The 22267-nt window shown below is 39.8% G+C and overlaps 1 protein-coding gene across 19 annotated transcripts in view; it reads left to right on the top strand.

Moving 5' to 3' along the window:
* SNX31 (sorting nexin 31) overlaps positions 1-21111 on the top strand; it is a 90712-nt gene extending 69601 nt beyond the window's left edge. For 5 of the 19 annotated variants that reach the window (XM_011516899.2, XM_017013161.2, XM_017013160.2 and 2 more), the window contains 4 exons: positions 5006-5119; positions 9797-9874; positions 16910-16966; positions 20025-21111. In XM_011516899.2, the coding sequence (XP_011515201.1) occupies positions 5006-5119; positions 9797-9874; positions 16910-16966; positions 20025-20120 (345 nt within the window). In that variant the 3' untranslated portion in view covers positions 20121-21111. Of the gene's footprint in view, positions 1-5005; positions 5120-9796; positions 9875-16909; positions 16967-20024 lie in introns of those variants that run through there. The other 14 variants (XM_017013162.2, XM_017013157.2, XM_024447086.2 and 11 more) reach the window with 10 other exon arrangements.
* Positions 21112-22267: the final 1156 nt, after the last annotated feature.

Raw genomic sequence — 22267 nt, 5'->3', positions numbered from 1 at the left:
TTGCAGATCAAAAATGTTTCATTTTGATTAAATCTAATTAATCAGTTTTCCTTTTTTGGATTGTGCTTTTGCCGTCAAGTCCAAGAACTCTTTGATAAATCCTGTTATAGATGCTGAAGTTTTTCTATTTTTTTTCCTAAAAGTTTTACAGTTAGGGGTTTTACATGTAAGTTCATGATCCATTTTCAGTTAATTTTTGTATGGAGCATGAGACTTAGGATAAGGTTATCAGGCCAGGCACAGTGGCTCATGCCTATAATCCCAGCACTTTGGGAGGCCGAGGTGGGCAGATTGGTTGAAGTCAGGAGTCTGAGACCAGCCTGGCCAACATGGAGAAACTCTGTCTCTACTAAAACTACAAAAATTAGCTGGGCGTGGTGGGGCGCATCTGTAATCCCAGCTACTTGGGAGGCTGAGGCAGGAGAATCCCTTGAGTCTGGGAGGGGGAGGTTGCAGTGAGCCAAGATCACGCCACTGCACTCCAGCCTGGGAGACAGAGCAAGACCCTGCCTCGAAAAAATAAAATAAAATAAAATAAAAATAAGGTGGTTATCCCCCCATCCCCAACCTTTTGTTTGTTTGTTTGCCTCTGGAGGTCCAGTTGCTCCAGTACCCATTTGTTGAAATGACTGTCTGTCCTCAAGTAAGCTATTTATATACCTTTGTCAAAAATCAGTTGGGCATGTTTGTACGGGTCTGTTTCTAGGTTCTCTGTTCTGTTTGGCTGATCTATGTGTATATTCCCCCACCAATATCACACGTGTCTTTCTTTATAACGGCTTTATTGAGATATAATTCACATACCATACAATTCACCCATATAAAGTATACGATTCAATGGTATGGTATGTAGTATATTCACAGAGTTGTGCAGCCATCACCACAATCAATTTTAGAACACTTTATCACCTGAAAAAGAAGCCCCATACCCTTTAGTTGTCACTTTCCTATCCCCCCAGCCCTAAAAAACCACTGATCTACTTTCTGTCTCTATAGAATAGATTTGCCTATTCTGGATAATTTATATTAATGGACACATAGAAAGTCCGGCATGAGGAGGTAACCGCTTGAGCTAACTCCGACCCGTATATTAATGGAATCATATAATATGTGATCCTTGTGACTAGCTTTTTTACCTAGCATGTTTCCCAGGTTCATTCTTGTAGCATGTATCATCAGTACTTTATTATTTTTTATGGACAAATAATATTCCACTTCATGGTTATAGCACATTCTACCCATTCATCCATTGATAGACATTTGGGTTGCTTCTATATTTTGGCTGTTATGAATTATGCTGCTATAAACATTTGTGCACAAGCTTTTGTGTAGACATGTTTTTATGTCTCTTGAGTATATACCTAGGAGTAGAATTATCATTGGATCAAATGATAATTCTGTGTTTAACTTTTTGAGGAACTGCCAGCCTAGTTTCCAAAGTGGCTGCACCATTTTATATCCCCAGCAGCAGTGGAGGGTTTTGATTTCTCCTCATCCTTGCCAGTACTTGTTATTAATTTTTTATTATAGCCAACCTAGTAGATAGATGTGACACGGTATCCCATTGTGATTTCATTTATCTCAGTATTTTTTCTCTCTCTGCTTTATTTGTGGTTGTTTCTATTGCTATAGCTTTAAGATTATTGATATTTTCTTCTGTAATGTCTAACATTGTTATTTATCCCATCCAGTGCATTTTTACTTCTAGTGTTGTATTTTTCATCTCTAGAAGTTCTGTTTAGATCTTTTTTATATTTTCCATTTCTCTCCTTATCATGCTACTTTTTTTCTCCAAATTCCTGAGTGTATGGAACATACTTTAAATAGCAGTTTCAATATTTTTGCTACTAATTCCATCATCTCTGTCATTTCTGGATCTAATTCTACTGATTGATACTTTTTTCTTTTTGCTTTCTGTTTGTTTGTTTTTATCACCTGACATTGAGTATGTACTATTGATTGATTTTTCTACTGTTTGCAGATCATATTTTCCTCCTCCTATTCATTTCAAGTAATTTTTTGTGGCATGCTAAACGTTGCAAATTTTACATTATTGAATGTCGCATTTTATTGAATTCCTTTAAAGAGCATTAGATTTTATTCTGGCATGCAGTTAAATTACTTAGGATTGGTTTTATTTTTATTTTTATTTTTAAGAGGCAGGGTCTCACTCTGTTACCCAGGCTGGAGTGCAGTGGCACAATTATGGCTCACCGCAGCCTCAACCCTGTGGGCTCGAGAGATCCTCCTTCCTCAGCCTCCCAAGTAGCTGGGATTACAAGCATGTGCCTATGCCCAGCTGATTTTCATTTTTTGTAGAAACAGGGTCTTGCTATGTTTCCCAGGCTGGTCCTGAACTCCTGGCCTCAAGCAATCATCTGCCTCACCTTCCCAAAGTGCTGGGATTACAGGCATGAGCCCCCATGCCTGGCCAGTTTTACTTTTTTGATGCTTGCTTTTAAGCTTTATTTCCTTCTTTTTTTTTTTTTTTTTTTTGAGACGGAGTCTCACTCTGTTGCCCAGGCTGGAGTGCAGTGGCGCGATCTCGGCTCACTGCAAGCTCCGCCTCCCGGGTTCAAGCCGTTCTCCTGCCTCAGCCTCCCGAGTAGCTACGACTACAGGCGCCTGCCCGCCTTGATGAAGTTGCAGAGTAATCTTTAGTCTAGGGCTAATTTAGCCCTTTGTGCCTTAGCTGCCATTCTTAGAGCTCTACCTGACATCTTGTCTATTGTCTCTCTGCTCTGGCCAATGGGAACATGAACTCTTTCCATCCTTGTTTGTGAGCTCCTGCAATTTCCAACCTACTGCTTTCCAGATGTTCTTTCCCCAGCCTCATGTAGGTTTACTCTATACACGCGTAGATCGTTATTCAGCCAAAGATTTGTCAAAAACTCCCTAGAGCTCTCGCTGTGTTTAAAGCCCTAGTCTTTGATATTCTGCACCACAAATTCCAATCTCAACTTCTTGAAACTTTTGCCCTTTCTCCTCTACTCATTAGGACCCCTGGGCTCTGTTTGGGTTCCCTGTCTTTGTGTTATATCCTGGAAACCTCTTCAGGTGGTAAGCTGGGATAATTATGGGGCTCACTTCATTTGGTTTTCCTTCTCTCTGGGTTAACAGTACTGCGTTATCTGTTGTTCAGTGTCTGAAAACAGCTGTTTTCCAATTCATATTTTGTTGTTGTTGTTGTTGTTGTTGTTTTCGAGATGGAGTCTTACTCTGTTGTCCAGGCTGGAGTGCAGTGGCGCAATCTCAGCTCACTGCAACCTTCACCTCCCAGGATCAAGTGATTATCCTGCCTCAGCCTCCCGAGTAGCTGGGATTACAGGCACCAGCCACCATACCCAGCTAATTTTTTGTGTGTTTTTAGTAGAGATGGGGTTTTACCATGTTGGCCAGGCTGGTCTCAAACTCCTGACCTCAAGTGATCTGCCTGCCTCAGCCTCCCAAACTGTTGGGATTACAGGCATGAACCACTGCACCCAGCCTCCAATTCATGTTTTAACTGATGCTGCCAGACCGATATTTCTAAAATATAAATCTAATTCCTGTTTTTTGGAGACAAGGACTTGCTATGGTGCCCAGGCTGGTTTTGAACTCCTGAGCTCAAGAGATTCTCTTGCCTCAGCCTCCCAAAGTGCTGGGATTACAGGCATGAGCTACCACACCTAGCTGAAACCTCTTAAAGAAAATCTGTTGCCCTTAGGATAATGTCTGTTGCCCCCTAGGGGGAAAAATATCTTTTTTCTTTCCCTATTTCTTTTTTGTGTACTGCATATAATCTGCAGGAAGGGATCCTTAGCTTATAAAACCTGTAAGAGTTAGGGCTCTTTGTTGGCAAGCAATAGAAACCAACACATTGGACTCTAGTGGAAAATGGGATTTATTGGAAGGATATGGAGTAACCTACAGATTCAAAGGAAAAACGGATGCAGAGGCTTTAGAAAGTTAAGAACCAAAGGAGCTCAAGCTTTCTAAGAAATAGGAACTCTATCAGGACCTACCATTTGGGTCTCTCTGACTGGAATAACATGAGGAGCATAGAGAATTACTTGTCCACTTGGCCTGAAATTTGGTCATATGCCATCCTCTGACTTTTCATTCCCTGATAGTCCTACATAAATAGCCAACAGTGGAAGAGGGATGGTTTTTCCAAGGGTATTTGAGACTCCATTACTAGGAAAAAGAATGATGGATGCTGCAAAGCAAAAATCACAGATGTTGCCTACCAGGCTTTCAGGATCTGGTCCTAAGCCTCTTCTCATATCACCCTCCATGCCTTGGAGCCTGTACTGCAGCCACATGCACAGTCCCTTGTAGTGTCTCCAACATGCCTCAGGACATTTGCACTTGCTAGAATATTTCCTCTTTCAAAAATCACCTCTCACCTCCCCTACACACTACAAAATAAAACCACCACGACAAACTTGGGTAGTTTCTACCTCTGCTCAGATGGCCCTTCCAGGAAGTCTTCCTTTGCCCTCCTAGCCTGGGTTAGGTGCCCCTCCTATTTACTTCCATAGACCTGTGTTTCCTTCCTAACACTTAACTATTAATATATCAAACTGTGGTGATTTACTTTCATGGCTCCTCCATAGACTGATACCTTCTTGGAAATAGGGACAGTCTCCCTCATTTTGATATTTTGCCCAACACATTAATGGGCTTTTTTTTTTTTTTTTTGAGACGAAGTCTCACTCTTGTCACCCAGGCTGGAGTGCAATGGCATGATCTCGGCTCACTGCAACCTCTGTCTCCCTAGTGCAAGTGGTTCTCCTGCCTCAGCCTCCCAAGTAGCTGGGATTACAGGCCCCTGCCACCACGCCTGGTTAATTTTTGTATTTTTAGTAGAGATGGGGTTTCACCATGTTGGCCAGGATGGTCTCGAACTCCTGACCTCAGGCGATCTGCCCGCCTCAGCTGGGATTTCAGGTGTGAGCCACCGTGCCCGGCAAATTAATAGGCATTTAAATTTACATTGAATATAAAATATTTTCCTTTGTAGGGAACTCTGCTGGATACGGATGGGCCCCAGAGAACTCTCAACCAGAACTTAGAGCTCAGATTTCAATACAGTGAGGATAGTTGCTGGCAGTGGTTTGTTATTTACACCAAACAGGTGAGTTCTCAGGGCAGACCTTGAACACCCTCTGTGCTGAAATGCTGTCTTGCTTGCTGGGGTGGATGAAGCACATGACCCTAACCCAACTAGAGCAGGACCCTAAAGTGTTCTATGCACTCTCGTTCGGGACCGTAATACCTTTTATTTTGTTTTATGTTTTGTTATATTTTACTAGTCACCGTGGCCTTTGTATCAGTTAGAAATGAATTTAGTTACCAATTAATAGAAGATTCAACCAACAGTGGCTTAGACCAGGAGTCCATAGACTTTTTCTTAAAGGATAGTAAATATTTTAGGATTTGAGATCCATACAGTCTCTGTTGCAACTGCTCAACTCTGTTAAAAGCAGCCATAGGCAGTATATAAACAAGTGAGTCTGGCTATGTTCCAATAAAACTTTATTTATAGAAACAGATGGTGGTCTGGCCTTGTTTGCCAACCCCTGACTTAGGCAATACAGATTTTTATGATCTTAGTTAATAAAAATACTGAAGGTAGATGATTGGCATCCCTATTATTCTCTTGACCTTTTCCAAGCAGATAAAAAGCCACTGGTTGAGTATCCCTTATCCCAAATGCTTAGCACCAGAATTGTTTCCAATTGCAGATTTTTTTAAATCTTGAAATATTTGCATATACATTCATGTGGTACATAACATTTTGGTCAATGACAGTCTGTATATATGGCAGTGGTCCCATAAGTTTATAACTCAGTATTTTTACTGTACCTTTTTTATGTTTTTTTTTAATGTTTCACCTTTTTCCTGTAGTACCTTTTCTATGTTTAGGTGATACACATACTTATCATTGTGTTACAATTGCCTCAGAATTTATTCAGTATAGTAGCATACTGTACAGGTTTATAGCCTAAGAGTGGGAGGCTCTATCATCTAGCTTAGGTATATAGCAAGCTATACCATCTAGGTTTGTGTAACTACACTCTATGTTGTTTGCACAATGACAAACTTGCCTAATGATGCATTTCTCAGAACATACCCCCATCATCATTAACTGATGTATAATTGTATATAATGAGATATCTTGAGGATGGGACCCAAGTCTAAACATGAAATTCAATTATGTTTCATATACACCTTAAACACATAGCCTGAAGGTAATTTTATATGATATTTTAAATAAATTTGTGCATGGAACAAAGTTTGTGGACATTGAGCCATCAGAAAGCAAAGATGTCACTACCTCAGCCACCCATGTGGACCATCTGTGGTTGTCGGGCATCACCATCATTCCTGACTCTGAATTTATATGCTACTGATAAGCAATCCATTTCTTATACTTATTCACATATACATAATCAACAGTAGAAAACATGACGTACCATTAATGCAGTGAAAAATTATGTGTTCAGGGTAGCTAATCAGCACAATAGCATCACTGGAATACCTGTATCAGCTGTGAAACCTGTGAAACAACAGCAACAGAATCTGTGCTGTACATCTGGTTTTTGACTGTTACTAGTCACAGGAGATCAGGTGTGGAATTTCCCACTTGTGGCATCATTTAAGTGGCTCAAAAAGTTTCACATTTTGGACTTTTGGATTAGGGATGCTCAACCCATATCTCTCTTATCTGGAAAGCAAAAGTTTTACCCCAGAAACCCCGCAGTAGACTTCCTATTATGTTTCAATGGCCAGAACTGGATCATATGACCACTCCTAGCTGCAAGGGAGTCTGGGAACCAAGCATCTAGCAAAGAGAAACAGGATTTATGATTGGCTTAGAGTAAGCATGAACCATTGCCTGGGGCTGAGCATGTTATCGTCCCAAACAAAATCAGGGTCTCTTAGGAAAGAAGAAGGGGCAATGGCTGTTGGGTAGCCAACTATCCATGTCTACCATAGGCTTTTAACTAAAATTGGAGTGGAAATGCTAAAAAAGAGAAAATCTAAACACCAAATCCAATTGAAAAGTCCTTTTTACTAAATTAAGCCATTTCAAATTGAAACCAAAATTGTAGGTGTTCTGAAATGGAATCAAAATAGTAAAGTACTCTTTGCATCGATGTCATATTCAACTTGAGTCTCTGGTGATCAGGCTAAGTTCCATGGAACATTCTGGTTCAGAAACCAAGGCCCCTTTTGACTCTTTACTTCTAGTATAGTTGAGTCATTATATCAAAGTCCTCTGAAAACATGAAGTACTAAACCAAAATTCTAGGTTAAAGGAGTGGGTCCTTAGGTCCACCTTAAGTATGAAACATCTTTGGGGAAATAGTAGACTGGTTTGCTAAGGCAAGATTATCAGTCACTTGGAGAGACATAGAGAGATTTGGGTAGTAAAACTACCTCCCAACCTCAGAATGCTAAGTGCGGTTAAATTTTACTATGATTTTTCAATCTAGGCAGTAGCAAATGAGTTTAAACCACCATAAAGAGGTGCAATAAACATTCTTTCAAAGGATTCCTAGTAAGGTCTTATTTCCCCTGGAGTGTGAGTTTTATTGATGTACACCCAAAGGCTACTTTTTAAAAACATTATAATTTTTATGGATATATAATAGTTGTACACACTCAAGGGCTACTTTTGTAAAAGGTGGAAATGTGACTTGTGTGCTTTGCAAATACAAATGAGGGCTTGGGCCCAAATCTTTTTGAGACCTTTTAAATGAAATCTGAATTGTTGGCCAGGCGCAGTGGCTCATGCCTGTAATCCCAGCAATTTGGGAGGCCAAAGCCGGCAGATCACTTGAGGTCAGGAGCTTAAGACCAGCCTGGCCAACATGGTGAAACACCATCTCTACCAAAAGAACAAAAATCATCTGGGCATGGTGGCAGGCACCTGTAATCCCAGCTACTCGGGAGGCTAAGGCAGGAGAATCCCATGAATCTGGGAGGCGAAGGTTGTAGTGAGCCAAGATTACACCACTGTGCTCCAGCCTGGGCGACAGAGCAAGACTCCATCTCAGAAAAAAAAACAACAACTCGATCCTTTTGCTTTGTCTTTTTTAAATTTTTTATTCATTTTCAATCTTTTCATATTTAATAAACCTGACAGTTTATAGCAGAGTCCTGGCCTATGTACTTGTGTACATTGTATAAGAATATGGAATTGGTCTGCATCTTATTGGACCCTATTAAACATCCTTCCTAGCTGCATTTGCTCAGGGTTTTGTTGTTTATTTTATTATCTGGTTTTGCATAGGTTTCATATATGCACATATAAACAGGGCTAGTTCTTAGCAAAGCTAGGAAGTCAAAATGTTTGCACAAATGCCCCATCTGTTAATTCTTTCAAAAATTGATGTCAGGCCCTTTTTTCTCTCTTCCCTCTTTTCCCCTTTTAAATAAAATTAATTCCTGTAATGCTCTACACCCCTGGAAGACATTGAGAGCTGTATGTAGCCCATTTTCCCTCTAATTCTGCTTTCTGTGTTCTCCCCTCCAAGAACTTCCTACTTGGCTACCACCCCAGCCTGTGCTTTCTCTCACTCTCTCCTCCCTTCTCCTCTCCATCCTCCCCTCCAACACAGTGACCACCCCTGAACACAGCCCTGCGCTAAGTTCTTCTAGCCTCAACTTTGATTGGCAGTTGTCCCAAACCTTAGTAGGGCCAAAGGAGAAAACAGCAGGCCAAGAATTAAGAGCAGGACAAGAGAGAAAAAGGATAAGTGGGAAAGGAGCAAATGGGAAAATCACAGGGAACCTTCAATTTTGCTCATAGTATTGAAGAGCCTGGAATAAGGAAGCCCAGCTTTTGTGTAGCAAGTTGTACAACTATGAGTGTCTTGGCACTAATGATGATTTAGCCACGAAGGATAGTGAAGGTGACTATGAGTCTAGAACATGAGTGATTAAAGATACTAGAAAAATAAGAAAGTGGGCCAGGCACGGTGGCTCACACCTGTAATCCCAGTACTTTGGGAGGCGAGGCGGGTGGATCACTTGAGGTCAGGAATTTGAGACCAGCCTGGCCAACATGGTGAAACCCCGTCTCTACTAAAAATACAAAAAAATTAGCTGGGCATGGCAGCGTGCTGAAGCGGGAGAATCGCTTGAACCAAGGAGGCGGGGGTTGCAGTGAGCCAAGATCGCAGCCACAGCACTCCAGCCTGGGTGACAGAGTGAGACTGTCTCAGAGAAAAAAAAAAAAAAAAGAAAAAGAAAAAGAAAAATAAGAAAGTGAAGTGAAGAAAAACAGCTGATCTTTTTTTTCAGTTTAGTAAAAGCAATAAGGTGCTAATATATTCCTTCAAACAAACCAGTTACTTTTATGCCCAGTAGAGGTCTCTCAATAATTATGTATACAATGTCTAGAATTAAATATAGGATTGACCATCATCAGTTCATCTCATTATAATAATAATAATTAGTTTTTATTGTTTATTGCTCATAAAACATTATCTGCTTACAAAATAATAGAAAACATGGGATGCAAGGGGGTGAGTTTTAAGAGGAAAAATGTTAATAGTGAGATCCTGGACATTTTTCATTTCTTTAAAAAATCTGCTGTAAATATATCCACATAATTGAGAAAATTTATAGTTACTTACTAATTGGATCTTATGAAAACTTCTAGAGGTTAATGAAGAAATCTAAATTCTTGAATCTGTGTTATTGGAGGGCAGAGTCAAAATCCGCTTTGTGGTGTGAGGAGGGAAGAAAGAGAGTGAAGATTTCTTCGGTTACAAGAGTTCTTTATTCCTGCATTTCTTAGGCTTTTTTGCTGAGTAGCTGCTTGAAAAAGATGATCTCAGAAAAGATGGTAAAGCTAGCTGCTGAGAATACAGAAATGGTGAGTGCTCTTATCTGTGTCTATTTTTCACTTTACGTTCCCACTATCAGCCAACAGTTGGAGACCAAACTACACTCATGAGCTCCCTGAGCCAGCAGGTCTAGTCCTAAAGGGAGGACTCCAAACCACAGAAGTGAGCTCCTCTTCCCTCTGGTAGCTCAGTGGTCAGGATGGCAGGGCAGAAGGAAGCCTGTCTTTAGAATTGAAGTCATTTTTCCAATGAGAAGTCATCTTTGGGTTACTGAGAATTCTAACCCTCGACTTTGTATCATTTTGTTTCAGCCTTCTCTGACATGGAGGCTTTCAGATTTATTACAGAAGCTACATCTTCAAGTCAGGGTCTTGAGGGGGTCTTTAACACAGTGGGGATGATCTTATTATAAGTTTATCTCTAGAAAGAATCCATAGCTTCTTGATACTTCCATTGTGCCAAATGAAAATGCCTTTAACAGTTGGGGGAGGTAGTAAAATAAACTCTCAAGGCTATTTTTTTTCCTCAATATAAAATTAAACTTTATTGTTCTAGTGTTTATTTATTATTATATTTATTAAAGGCCTAGTAACTCATCAAAAAGGTTGGTGAGAAGGCTGTGAAAAAATTATATTTTAAACTGTTTTAATTGCCTAGTCGTTATCATGATACAAGTATGTCCCAAACAAGACAGTACAATTTTTTTTTTAAATGATTAGAAATACCAATGCCTGGGGCCGGGCATGGTGGCTCATGCCTGTAATCCCAGCACTTCAGGAGGCCAAGTGGGGGGATCACTTGAGGTCAGGAGTTTGAGACCAGCCTGGCCAACATGGTGAACCCCCATCTCCACTAAATATACGAAATTAACTGGGTGTGGTGGTGGGTACCTGTAGTCCCAGCTACTGGGGAGGCTGAGGCAGGAGAATTGCTTGATCCCAGAAGACAGAGGTTGCAGTGAGCCAAGATGACACCATTACATTCCAGCCTGGGTGACAGAGTGAGACTCCATCTTAAAAAAAAAAAAGAAAGAAAGAAATACCAGTACCTGGTTGACATTCATAAACTTAATTCTTTTGTAGAATATTATATTGATATTTTAAAATATAATAGAAAATATTGGGAAACTTTTCTTTTCTTTTCTTTTCTTTTTTTTTTTAGATGGAGTCTCACTCTGTCGCCCAGGCTGGAGTGCAGTGGTGCATCTCAGCTCACTGCAAGCTCCGCCTTCCGGGTTCACACCATTCTCTTGCCTCAGCCTCCCGAGTAGCTGGGGCTACAGGTCCCTGCCACCACGCCCGGCTGATTTTTTGTATTTTTTTTTTTAGTAGAGACAGGGTTGCACCACGTTAGCCAGGATGGTCTCGATCTCCTGACCTCATGATCCGCCCGCCTCGGCCTCCTAAAGTGCTGGGATTACAGGCATGAGCCACCGCACCCGGCCAGGAAACTTTTCTAATGTTTTCATTTAAATTTAGACTAAGAGGATGGATGACATCTTTAGTTAACATTGATCTTTACTTGACTTTCCAGCTTTTTTCTAAGAAAATAGCTGTGTTTTGTAATTATTTCTCTTTCTTCTAGAACTGAACGTACCTTTTCCAGGGAAAATAAATTCACTGCCTCTTGGTGACTGAACAATTCAAGATGTGCTAGAGAGTAGTAAATCAAAGCAATAAAAGAATCAAGGAAACTCTTTTTAAAAGAGTAATATAATAAAATCCAACCTCTCAGGCAGGATGGACCCTCTTAGGCTGAGATTATTGTATGTATTAAAAAGAAGAAAGAGAAAAGTAATTAACTGAAGTAGCCTCATTAAAAGGGAGAAGTGCTCTCAAATGTGGATGAAAAAAATGTAAGCTACTTGATTCAGGAAATACTTGTACAATGAGTAGCTAAAGAGTTAACTCAGTAAAATGGAGAAAGTAGTAATCTATTTAAAGTTTTCAAGAAAAACAACCACACTATGTATCTTAAGTTTGCACATGAATCGAAATCCATAATTAATCTCTGAGGTTAGCAAAATCAGCACATTAGTCAGTACCCTTGTATTGCTTTATCCAAATATTTAACACGTTTTAGTTCCAGAAACTCTTTATTTTTTTTACTTATTTTGGCTCTTGGAATGAAAAGTTCAGACCTTTCATTTTGAAAATTGGGTTTCCAAGAGGATTTTGTAAGGATAGTCTGCATTTTAATCTCGAATTTTATCTACAAAGCTCTGGGTAGAGGGGAACCTGGGAGGTAGAGAGAGCAGACAGTTCAGTGTTTGAACTCATCCTGAGTGCTGGGCCCCCTCACAAGTACAGTCGATTAAAGTCATTTTGTGGCTCAAGGAAACCATATAAATGTACCATGGCGTCATTCCCTTGTTTTCCAGGGAAACACACAAAGTCAAAACTGACACATAGCACTTATAGAAGGCTTGTATGGACTAGGACACAGAGGTCTCTATTTTGCAGGGCAGGTTCCGAGTCCAAGATTTTGATCATCTTAAAGAATCTGAAGCAGGGGAGAGAACTGTAACCAAATGAGCCCCATAAATAAGGCAGATCATCCCTAGAAGCAGATTAAGTAGTGCTAGTTTTATCCTAGTAAGAGGAAATGAGGGAAAAAAGAAATGTATTGTTAACTTAATTAGCTTTGTTAGCTTTAGGTAATGTTTTCAAAGATAAAACTTGTGCTCTGTTTATGAAGACATCATTAAAATTTGGGTCAAGCAAATGCACTAAAGAATAATGTAAACATACAGCCACAACAAAAATATATTAAGTTCTTAAATTATATATATATATATATATAGATAGATAGATAGATATAGATATATAAAAAATTTTTTTAAAGACAGGGTCACGCTCTGTCACCCAGGCTGGAGTGCAGTGGTGCAATCATGTCTCACTGCAGCCTCAACTTCCCAGACTGAGGTGATCCTCCTACTTCAGTCTCCCAAGTAGCTGGGACCACTGGCATGTGCCACCACACCCAGCTAATTTTTTTTTTTTTTTTTGTAGAGGTAAGGTCTCCCTGTGTTTTCCAGGCTGGTCTTGAGCTCCTGAACTCAAGCGATCCTCCCACCTTGGCTTCCCAAATTGCTGAGATAACAGACATGAGCCACTGTACCTGGCCCTTAAAGGCAATATTAACCATAAACTGGAAGAAAAAAAAAGTGTAACATTCTTCTTAAAGCTATGCTCCTGTACAAAAGCCTGAATCAATTTCCTTAATATTTGCTGCTCTTAATTAGAGCAGAATTATAAAGGATTGCTTTATTTAAAAATAAAGTATATTAGTTAGAGTTAGGTTTTGCTGCATGTAATAGAAAACAAAAGACAAAACAAGTGTCTTAGACACAATGAAGTTTGTTTCTCTCTCATCTAAAAGAAGTCCAGAGGTAGGCAGTCTAGGGCTGGATGGGGTGGCTCCATAATATCAACACAGACCTTTCTATTGTGGATCTTCTGTATGTGGCTTTCACCTCATCCCCAAAATGGCTGCCAGAACACCAATCATTACATCCACATTCTAGGCAGCAAGTATGAGGAAAATATGAAGCAGGGTTCACTTCTTTTCTTTAAGGAGAAGTTTCAGAAGTCTCACTCAGAATTTCCCCTACGACAATTGGCCAAGAGATAGTCACATCACAGGCCCACACCTAGCTGCAAGGGAGTCTGGTAAATGTGGTCTTTTAGCAGGGTGTGTTGTCTATTCAAATAAAACTGGGTGTAATTACTAAGGAAGAAGGGTGGAATGGATAATGGAGTAAACTACCAACAATCTCTGCCATTTAGAGAATTCCAAAAGACACCAAGAAAAGATAGTAGATGTATTTTATGCAATAGATGTGTTCCTAAGGAATTTCTGAAAGTGCATTATTATTATTTTACATATTGAACTGTAATCTGGATACATGAGATGTACATCAGGAGTATGCTGGTCAATTATTTTCTGACTTAAAAAGACTGTTTTTTTTTTTTTTTTTTTTTAAAGACAGGCTCTGTCTCCCAGGCTGGAGTGCAGTGGTGCAATCTCAGCTCACTGCAACCTCCACCTCCCAAGTTAAAGCCATCATCCCCACTGCAGTCTCCTAAGTACCTGGTACTATAGGCACACACCACCATGCCTGGCTAATTTTTGTATTTTTTGTAGAGACAGGGGTCTCACTATGTTGCCCAGGCTGGTCTCAAACTCCTGAGCTTAAGCAATCAGCCTGCCTTGGCCTCCCGAAGTGCTGAGATTACAGGTGTGAGCCACCATGCCTGGCAAGAAACAATTTATATTTCTAATAATCTATACCTAGTTTGTATATTTTCCCTTTGTTTTTCTTAAAAGTAGATCTGATCTCAAAATTAGTTTCCCTCAAAAATGGCGAAGAACAAGATGGCTTTCTGATTCCTGATTACCTTACACCTCTTACTCCATCCTCAACTACCATCACCAGATGTATTTTTCCCTCCATTCTTCTTTCCTTTTAGGCAAGGTGAAACTATTTAAAAGGCAACTGGCAATTTTAAACATGTTTCTATTATATAGTGAGGAGGGGAAACACCAAGGACAGTGGCCTCTGATATCTGAGGAATGTTAGCCTTTTGAAGAGCTGGTCCAATATAGAAAATGGAAAAACTGTGTATGGCAGTCAGGAGAATGGTATGAGCATAGCAGGAGGACACAGTTTTAGACAGCCAGGGGGAAATTACTGTGCAGGAATAAGTGATTATGTTATTAACAGAAACCACTCTATTGATGAAAAAGGAAGTATAGGAATACTGCATTATGAAAAAAGATTTGCTTGTTTCCCCAGCTTTATTCCCCCTAGTACATAAAGTATTGAAGGCCTTATTGCAAGAAGTCAAGGAAACTGATTATGTCAGAAATTGCTTAACATTTGTAGTGGTTCGATTTTATTTACTTTGACATAGGGAGCAGGAGGGGAAGGAGACTAGGAGACAGAAAAATTCTGAGAATTTTCCTCCAAGCTCTGTATTTCATGGCTGCAAGACTATTTATGGACCCTAATGTAACACTGTAAAATAATAATAATAGTAGCAGAACACATAAGACATCAGAGTGTTAATTTCTCATTTTCCAAGACTTAATAACTGGTTTTTTAAAAAATATTGAGGCCGGGCACAGTGTCTCGTGCCTGTAATCCCAGCACTTTGGGAGGCCGAGGCAGGTGGATCACTTGAGGTCAGGAGTTTGAGACCAGCCTGGCCAACATGGTGAAACCCCATCTCTACCAAAAATACAAAAATTAGATGGGCATGGTGGCGCGTACCTGTATTCCTAGCTACTTGGGAGACTGAGGCTGGAGAATCGCTTGAATCCAGGAGGTGGAGGTTGCAGTGAGCCAAGATTGTGCCACTGCACTCTAGCCTGGGCAACACAGCGAGACTCTGTCTCAAAATAATAATAAAATAAAATAAAATAAAATAAAATAAAATAAAATAAAATAAAAAATCATTGAAATAGGCTTAAATATGTGAACATTTCCATTAAGAATACTAACCTAAAGGAAGTCTTATGCATACCTCCTTAAAGCAATTGATTTTACAACAAAGTTAACCATAGTTGAAAGGTAATGCTTTTTTGCAGTGTCATGTTATTTAGCCCACTTATTTTTAAATGTCTCCGTCTATATTCTCATGAGAAGTAAGCAATAATAAACAATTAAGTCACTTGTTTATTCTGTCATTTATGAATGCCTGTGTGTACCATGTGATGGCTAAACCTGAGGATCCAGAGTCAAAGAGCTAATATGTTGGAGGAGAAAGGCGATTAATACAGAGACGTTGACAATTGTAGGGTAAATAAATACTGCAACTTGCTTGAGTTATGTACCTAACGCACATAGCAGTTCTTTTCTTTCCCATTAAGAAGAGTCTAAGAACTCTTTCCCCAAAAAGCCTGGCTAGGTGGTGTTTACTAGGTGTGCCAGGCACTCTGCCTTTCCAGATTCACTCCCACTCTGCTCTGTGCCCTGGGAGACTGTGTACTACAACCTTACCCTCAATGGGATAACTCAAGCTTGTCCAACCCACAGCCTGCGGGCTGCATGCAGCCCAGGACATGTCTGAATGTGGCCTAATGCAAATTCATAAACTTTCTTAAAACACTGAGTGTTTTTTTGTGATTTTTAAAAAGCTCATTAGCTATATTACATGGGGACCAAGACAATTCTCTTCTTCCAGTGTGGTCCAGGAAAGCCAAAAGATTGGACATCCCTGGATAACTCATTGGGAAACCAGCAGGAGATTGGAGGGTGGGAGAAAAGTGAGAGTAGGGTGTTTATTTCTCCATGTTGGAACCTGCTGGGTCTCTGGGGCTGGAATGTCTCTCTACTGAGGGATACAGCTCCCGTCAGGCAATCTCTCCTCCTTATAGCTACAGCTACTCTCTGGTTCCAGCCCCAGCTGCTCCCTCGCCCCTTCAGGCCTAGAGGTGGTAAGAATCCTCTGGAAATCCCCCTCATTGCTAGCCCCTGGGGGCCCCAACATCCCTTCATGCATTCAATGTAATCCTGCCCACACCTCCATTAAATAGTTAAACGGTTCCTTCCTAAAATTCTCCTCAATTACCCCAAGATTGCACCATCTGTTTCCTGCTGGTATATTGGGTTTACCTTATGTACATGAGGTATATTCAAGTGCCTTGAACTTCGCTTTGATTCTTCGTTTGATTAATGGTGGCTTTTGATTAACCAAAGCCCCGCTGGGCTTTGAGTCAGCATATGGATTGCAACCCCAAGAATTATTTCAGGATTTAGAAGGACATTTCATTTCGTGTGATGTTCTTTTAAAAGCTTTCTTCAATCACAAAATCCATAGGCAACCACTAATGTGAAACATTAAGTTTTACTTAACTTTTGGGGACTCTATTTCTGTAACATTTAGACCCTGACAAGTGAAAGAGGAATGCACAGATGACAAGCAGGTGTACCTGCTGACCGGCAGCCTTTGGGACGATTAAGAGGATTATCGTGGAAGGGAAAGTGTGCTAGTTAAATAGATTGTTTGTGTGCTTGCTTCTCTGGGCTGAGCTGACTGACATTTCACTAATCTATCTAGCAGATTGAAGTTCCGGAACAAAGCAAAAGTAAAAAATACCACATTCAACAAAGCCAGGTCTGTGAGTAAAATTATGTAATTGGTACATTATAATTTTGATAAATCTGATCTTTTTTCCTCTTTAACCAAAGTCATCTCACTTTCAATAATAAGTCAGAATTATGTTTCTCAGAAGCTCCTCTTTGTAGATTGGGCCAATTGGAAGGCCATCACAGAAGTATAGTATTTTTATTGTAGCACCCCATAGCACTACCAAGAATTTTTACATAGAAAATTTCCAAGAGAAACACAAAATTATTTGGTGATTTTTTTGTACACCCCTTGCACTTTTTGGAGGCAACTCTCTTTCTAATTTGTATATGTTACATATCTAGTATATTTTGGTCTCATAGTTTTCTGCAGTATACTCTGTATAAAGCAACTTTTAAGTTTACAAAATACTTTTTGAGCATTTAGATCTGCTGTGCAGATAATAATAGAAAAAATCACAATCAATGACATTTTTGAGCACTCATTATTGCCAGGCAGTATTCTAAGCACTTTTATGTGAATTAACACATTCCTTCACAGCCCTATAAATAAGTTGAGGAAATTAGTGCACAGAGAGGTTTTGTGACCTGCCCAAGGTTGCACAGCAGTCAAAGATGGAAAGAAGCAGGCAGTCTGACCCTGGAACTATGCCCTTAACTAACTGTGCCCTTGCTAACTCTTCCTTTCTAAGTCCAAATCCTAGTGTAGGTGAATGAAAGAAAAGTGACTTCTAAGTAGCATTTGAATGGGATTTCTTCTTGATCCAGCACCTGTCACAGAACTGGTGTGTATGTAAACATCCTTAGTATATATGTACAGTATTTATAAATATGTAAGTATATAAAGTCCTTTCTTGAATGAATACAGTCAGGGAAAATAAACTAGCAGAAATGCATAAAAGCATTCTCCTTCATAATCACAGCACTTCTGGCTGGTTGGACAGAGAGACGAGATAGGAACTCCACTGCTTACTGGCTATGTGTCATTAGGCAGATCCAAAACCTAACTTCATTAGGGACTCTGATACTGCACTTCCATATCTTTGTCTGTAAAATGTAGATGGCAATCACTTCATCATTTTAATGCACCCATTTTAGCAGCATGCCGACAGCATGGAGCTGTGGTTCTCAACTTTGGCTGCACATTGGAATCACCTGGGGAGCTCTAAAAACTAATGCTTGAGCCCCACCCTCAGAAATTTGGATTTAATTGGTCTGAGGGGCCTGGGCAATGGAATTTTTAAAAGCTCCCCAAGTGGTCCTATTATACAACCAGAATTGGAACCATTATCCTAGAACACCAGTTCTCAGTGTGTGGTCCCTGGACCAACAGCATCTGTATCACGTGGATCTTATTAGAAATTCAAATTCTCAGGCCCCAAACCTACTGGATCAGCAGCTCTGGGGGAAGGCCGCAGCAATCTCTTTAACACGCCCACCAGACAAATCTGATGCATGTTCAAGTTTGAGAGCCACTGTCCTAGGACAACAGATAACACTCAGCACAACTGTGATCAGTTCAGTTGTCCTCTCGGATGAGTGGTAACTCTAATACAGGCCAACCTATCTCATGCTGTGAGTAGGACCAGCAGGTCGGAAAGAGACCTAGTGTCCAACTATATTGAGTTTTAATTTATTTTGCAAACTGTTGTATAGACCTTATCCTGAGCCATGAACTGCTATAATTACTTTTTATGTATAACTCGTTTAATCCCAATAAACAACCAAAGCACTGTTATTATCCTTGGCTTACTGCACAGAGAACTGAAACACAGAAAGGTTAAGTCACTTGCTCAAGGTCACACAGTCAGTTAATATCAGAGCCAGTATTTGAACCCAAGCAGTCTTTATTTGTTGTTTAACAAATAAAATTAGTTTGTTGCTTTAACCACTTGGCAGTGAGGCCCCTCTATCAAAACAAATCCCTCGTAGAAAAAAAGTTGTAGCCCATCTGCCCACTGAGGGGCTCCACATTTTTTTTTTCACTTTCCACTTTCCATAACCGTGTCTTTGAGATTTCATAAGTACTGAAGGCAAATTACTCTTTAAAGATTTGCGGTAACCCTAACCTCTAAAATGTTTTAAAATAAGCATAACACTTTTTTTTTCTAATGAGACAGAGTCTCGCTCCCTTGCCCAGGCTGGAGTGCGGTGGTGCCATCTCGGCTCATTGCAACCTCCACCTCCCAGGTTCAAGCGATCCTCCTGCCTCAGCCTCCTGAGTAGCTGGGATTACAGGTGTGCACCACCACATCCGGCTAGTTTTTGTAGTTTTGGTAGAGATGGGGTTTCACCATGCTGGCCAGGCTGGTCTCGTACTCCTGGCCTCAAGTGATCCACCACCTCAGCCTCCCAACGTGCTGGGATTACAGGCGTGAGCCACTGTACACGGCCTCTTCTTTTTTTTTTTTTTTTTAGACGGAGTCTCACTCTGTTGCCAGGCTGAAGTGCAGTGGCACAATCTTGGCTCACTGAAACCTCTGCCTCCAGGGTTCAAGTGATTCCCCTGCCTCAGCCTCCCGAATAGCTCGGACCACAGGCGCCAGCCACCATGCCTAGCTAATTTTTTTGTATTTTATTAGAGATGGGGTTTCACCACGTTGGCCAGGGTGGTCTTGATCTCCTGAACTCGTGATCTGCCCGCCTTGGCCTCCCAAAGTGTTGGGATTACAGGCATGAGCCACTGCGCCTGGCCGCCCAGCCTCTTTTTTAAAGTTTGTATTTGTGTGGAATGTGCACTAAAGATTTTGGGCAAAGTTAAAAATTGAAAGTCGCATGGCTTTAAGAGGGGAAAGAGGCAAGACAGGTAGAGTTAAATGTTAACCTGGGTGATATCCCAGGGCCCTGAAAGATGCAGAGGACACATAAAACCAGTAGGCGGTGCTCTTCTCAGTCCTAACGAGTGTATTTACACTCACCCCAAAATAAAGCTTCTACAGAATAAAACTGTTTAAAATAACCATTGCTTATACAAATGTAAGCTTTCTGTTGCCCTTTCAATACTGTTTTAACCTCTGTGACTTTGTTATTGTTATGGAAATGATTTCCTTTCATTTACATTTCTGACCTCTCTGTTTACTTCACAGCAGAAAGACTATTCTAGTTTTCTATCAAGAAAAAGCAAGATTAAGATAGCTAAAGATGACTGCGTTTTTGGGAACATAAAGGAAGAAGATCTCTGAAGAAAGCTCTCATATTTTAAAATATCCTTGGAGGCTATCTCAAGACAGTGAAAGAACTTGGGGATTCAGGTGGGCTACCTACCATCAGTGGAGGAAATTTGACCTCTTCCCATTTTTTTGGCATTAACATGGACTGTATTCATCAAGGTATTATACCACAGCACTCTATGGAAATCTCAAGATTAGAAAAAAAAAAAGAACCAAGTTATAGAGTTAGTTTTTATTTTATTTTTGCACTTCGTCATGACAGTATAGAGTTTGTTTTTAATGTCTCATAAATGACAAGTGGCAAATTCAAATCAACTCATATAAAACTCATTCTATTTTTTCTCTAAAATAGATCTTTATATGGCTTCATGAAGTCTTTTATGTGTTTTGAATTTACATAAATGAAAGTCTCATAAAATATCATAAAGATATTTTGGATCGATTTCTAAAGATGTGACTCTTCAACGGAGGAGAATAGGGCTCTGAGAAATGGAATCACTGAAAAAGAAACCTGGGTTCTCTGATCTATCCACACAGAACTAGAGCAAGGAGGTGATGAAATACTGATCTCTTTCCTCACATAAGTCTGAGCCTACCAATATGGATGTACTCAAAGTGAAACGCTGCCCTGTTCTCTGCTTGACCATTGTTATAATTTTATTCTGTCCTTAGAGTACTGAAGGCAGTTCAATAATCAACATGCTATTTGGAATGTTTTAATTTGGAAAGCAATAAGGCTCTGCACCTGATATCAGATACCTTATAATTCTCTTAGCTTTAAAAATATGTATACTTTCTCACAAGGTTTTTCCTTATCTAGCTTCATTTCTCTCATGGTAATTAATGTAATTATGTATAGAATTAAGACCACAATAAGGGAGATGATCAGAGGAATCTGTATAGTGTAATTAGAAAAAGTACAATATTCTAATGTTCTAACTGGGTTGTATACCTAATTATATAATAAATACAAAATAATTCCAGTGAATATAAAATTTGTTGATTAAAATTCTGTGAATAATCTTTTTGAAATATAGAATCTATTAAAAATTCTATAATATTTATAAACATATGCCTATAGCTGTAACTCCTAGTACTGGAAGTTTTTATATTTAAATTTTAGGCTGTAGTAGGATATTTTTGCAGAGACTCACAAACATCTCAAATCATCCTAAGTGAATGTGTTAATGGACTAGGATCCTCTTCAGATTAAAATGGAAGTTTATCTACTATTTTGCCAATTTAAGAGTAGTCAAGCTCTATCTCTTTTTAATAGCAAACACCTACACAATGGAAGAGGCTATCAGAGAAAACAAGAATGCAACAAATTGTATTTGGAGTAAGAAGACACATAAATTGAACCATATATAATTGCTGTCTTTGTAGGCCAAAAATAGTTTTATGTTGACAATTTCATGTTTCAACTTGATATGTAAGAGAGTAATCCCAGACAACATGTGGTTGGTGTCAAAAGTGTGCTATGTGGGCTGGGCGTGGTGGCTTACTCCTGTAACCCCAGCACTTTGGGAGGCCAAGGCGGGACGATCACTTGAGCCCAGTAGTTCAAGACCAGCTTGGGTAACATAGTGAGACCCAATATCTATTAAACAACAACAACAACAGCGTAGTGTGGACCTGCATGTCAAAGGACGTCGGGGCCATCAGGAAAGCCCCAAGGGGAAGAGGGACTTTGAAGAAAGAGTAGAGCCATGTGAGCAAAGGTGGGGCACCCTAGAGAAAGGGAAGGATAGTTACAGATGGGAGATTAAATGTGGCATTGTAGAAAAATGAGTAAACTTGTTCTGTGCTAGCGAAGTTTTAGGTTAAGGGAGTAGTTAGGAGATAAAGCTAAGAAGTGGGATGGATCAGAAATATATGTATATCCTAATGCAGCATCTCTACAGTATATGTAGAGCAGTTTGTCCTTTGAGGATGCACAAAAACAGAAGCATTTTATTTAATAGTTTTTTTTCCAAACATTGAGATTATCATCAGTGTCAGAATATGAGAAGAAAAATACAATTGATGACATGCATTCCACAGTATATAAATATAACATGAAGAATAAAGGAACTAGGGTAGCACATGATAAAACAAAAATTGAAACAAAATTCAAAACTTATTTTGTAAAATGATACATTTCTTAGTAGTTATGTGAG

Source organism: Homo sapiens, chromosome 8 (assembly GCF_000001405.40).
Source record: "Homo sapiens chromosome 8, GRCh38.p14 Primary Assembly".
NCBI lineage: Eukaryota > Metazoa > Chordata > Mammalia > Primates > Hominidae > Homo > Homo sapiens.
Note: the sequence above shows the minus strand (reverse complement) of the source record. Positions and strands in the feature narration are given on the sequence as shown.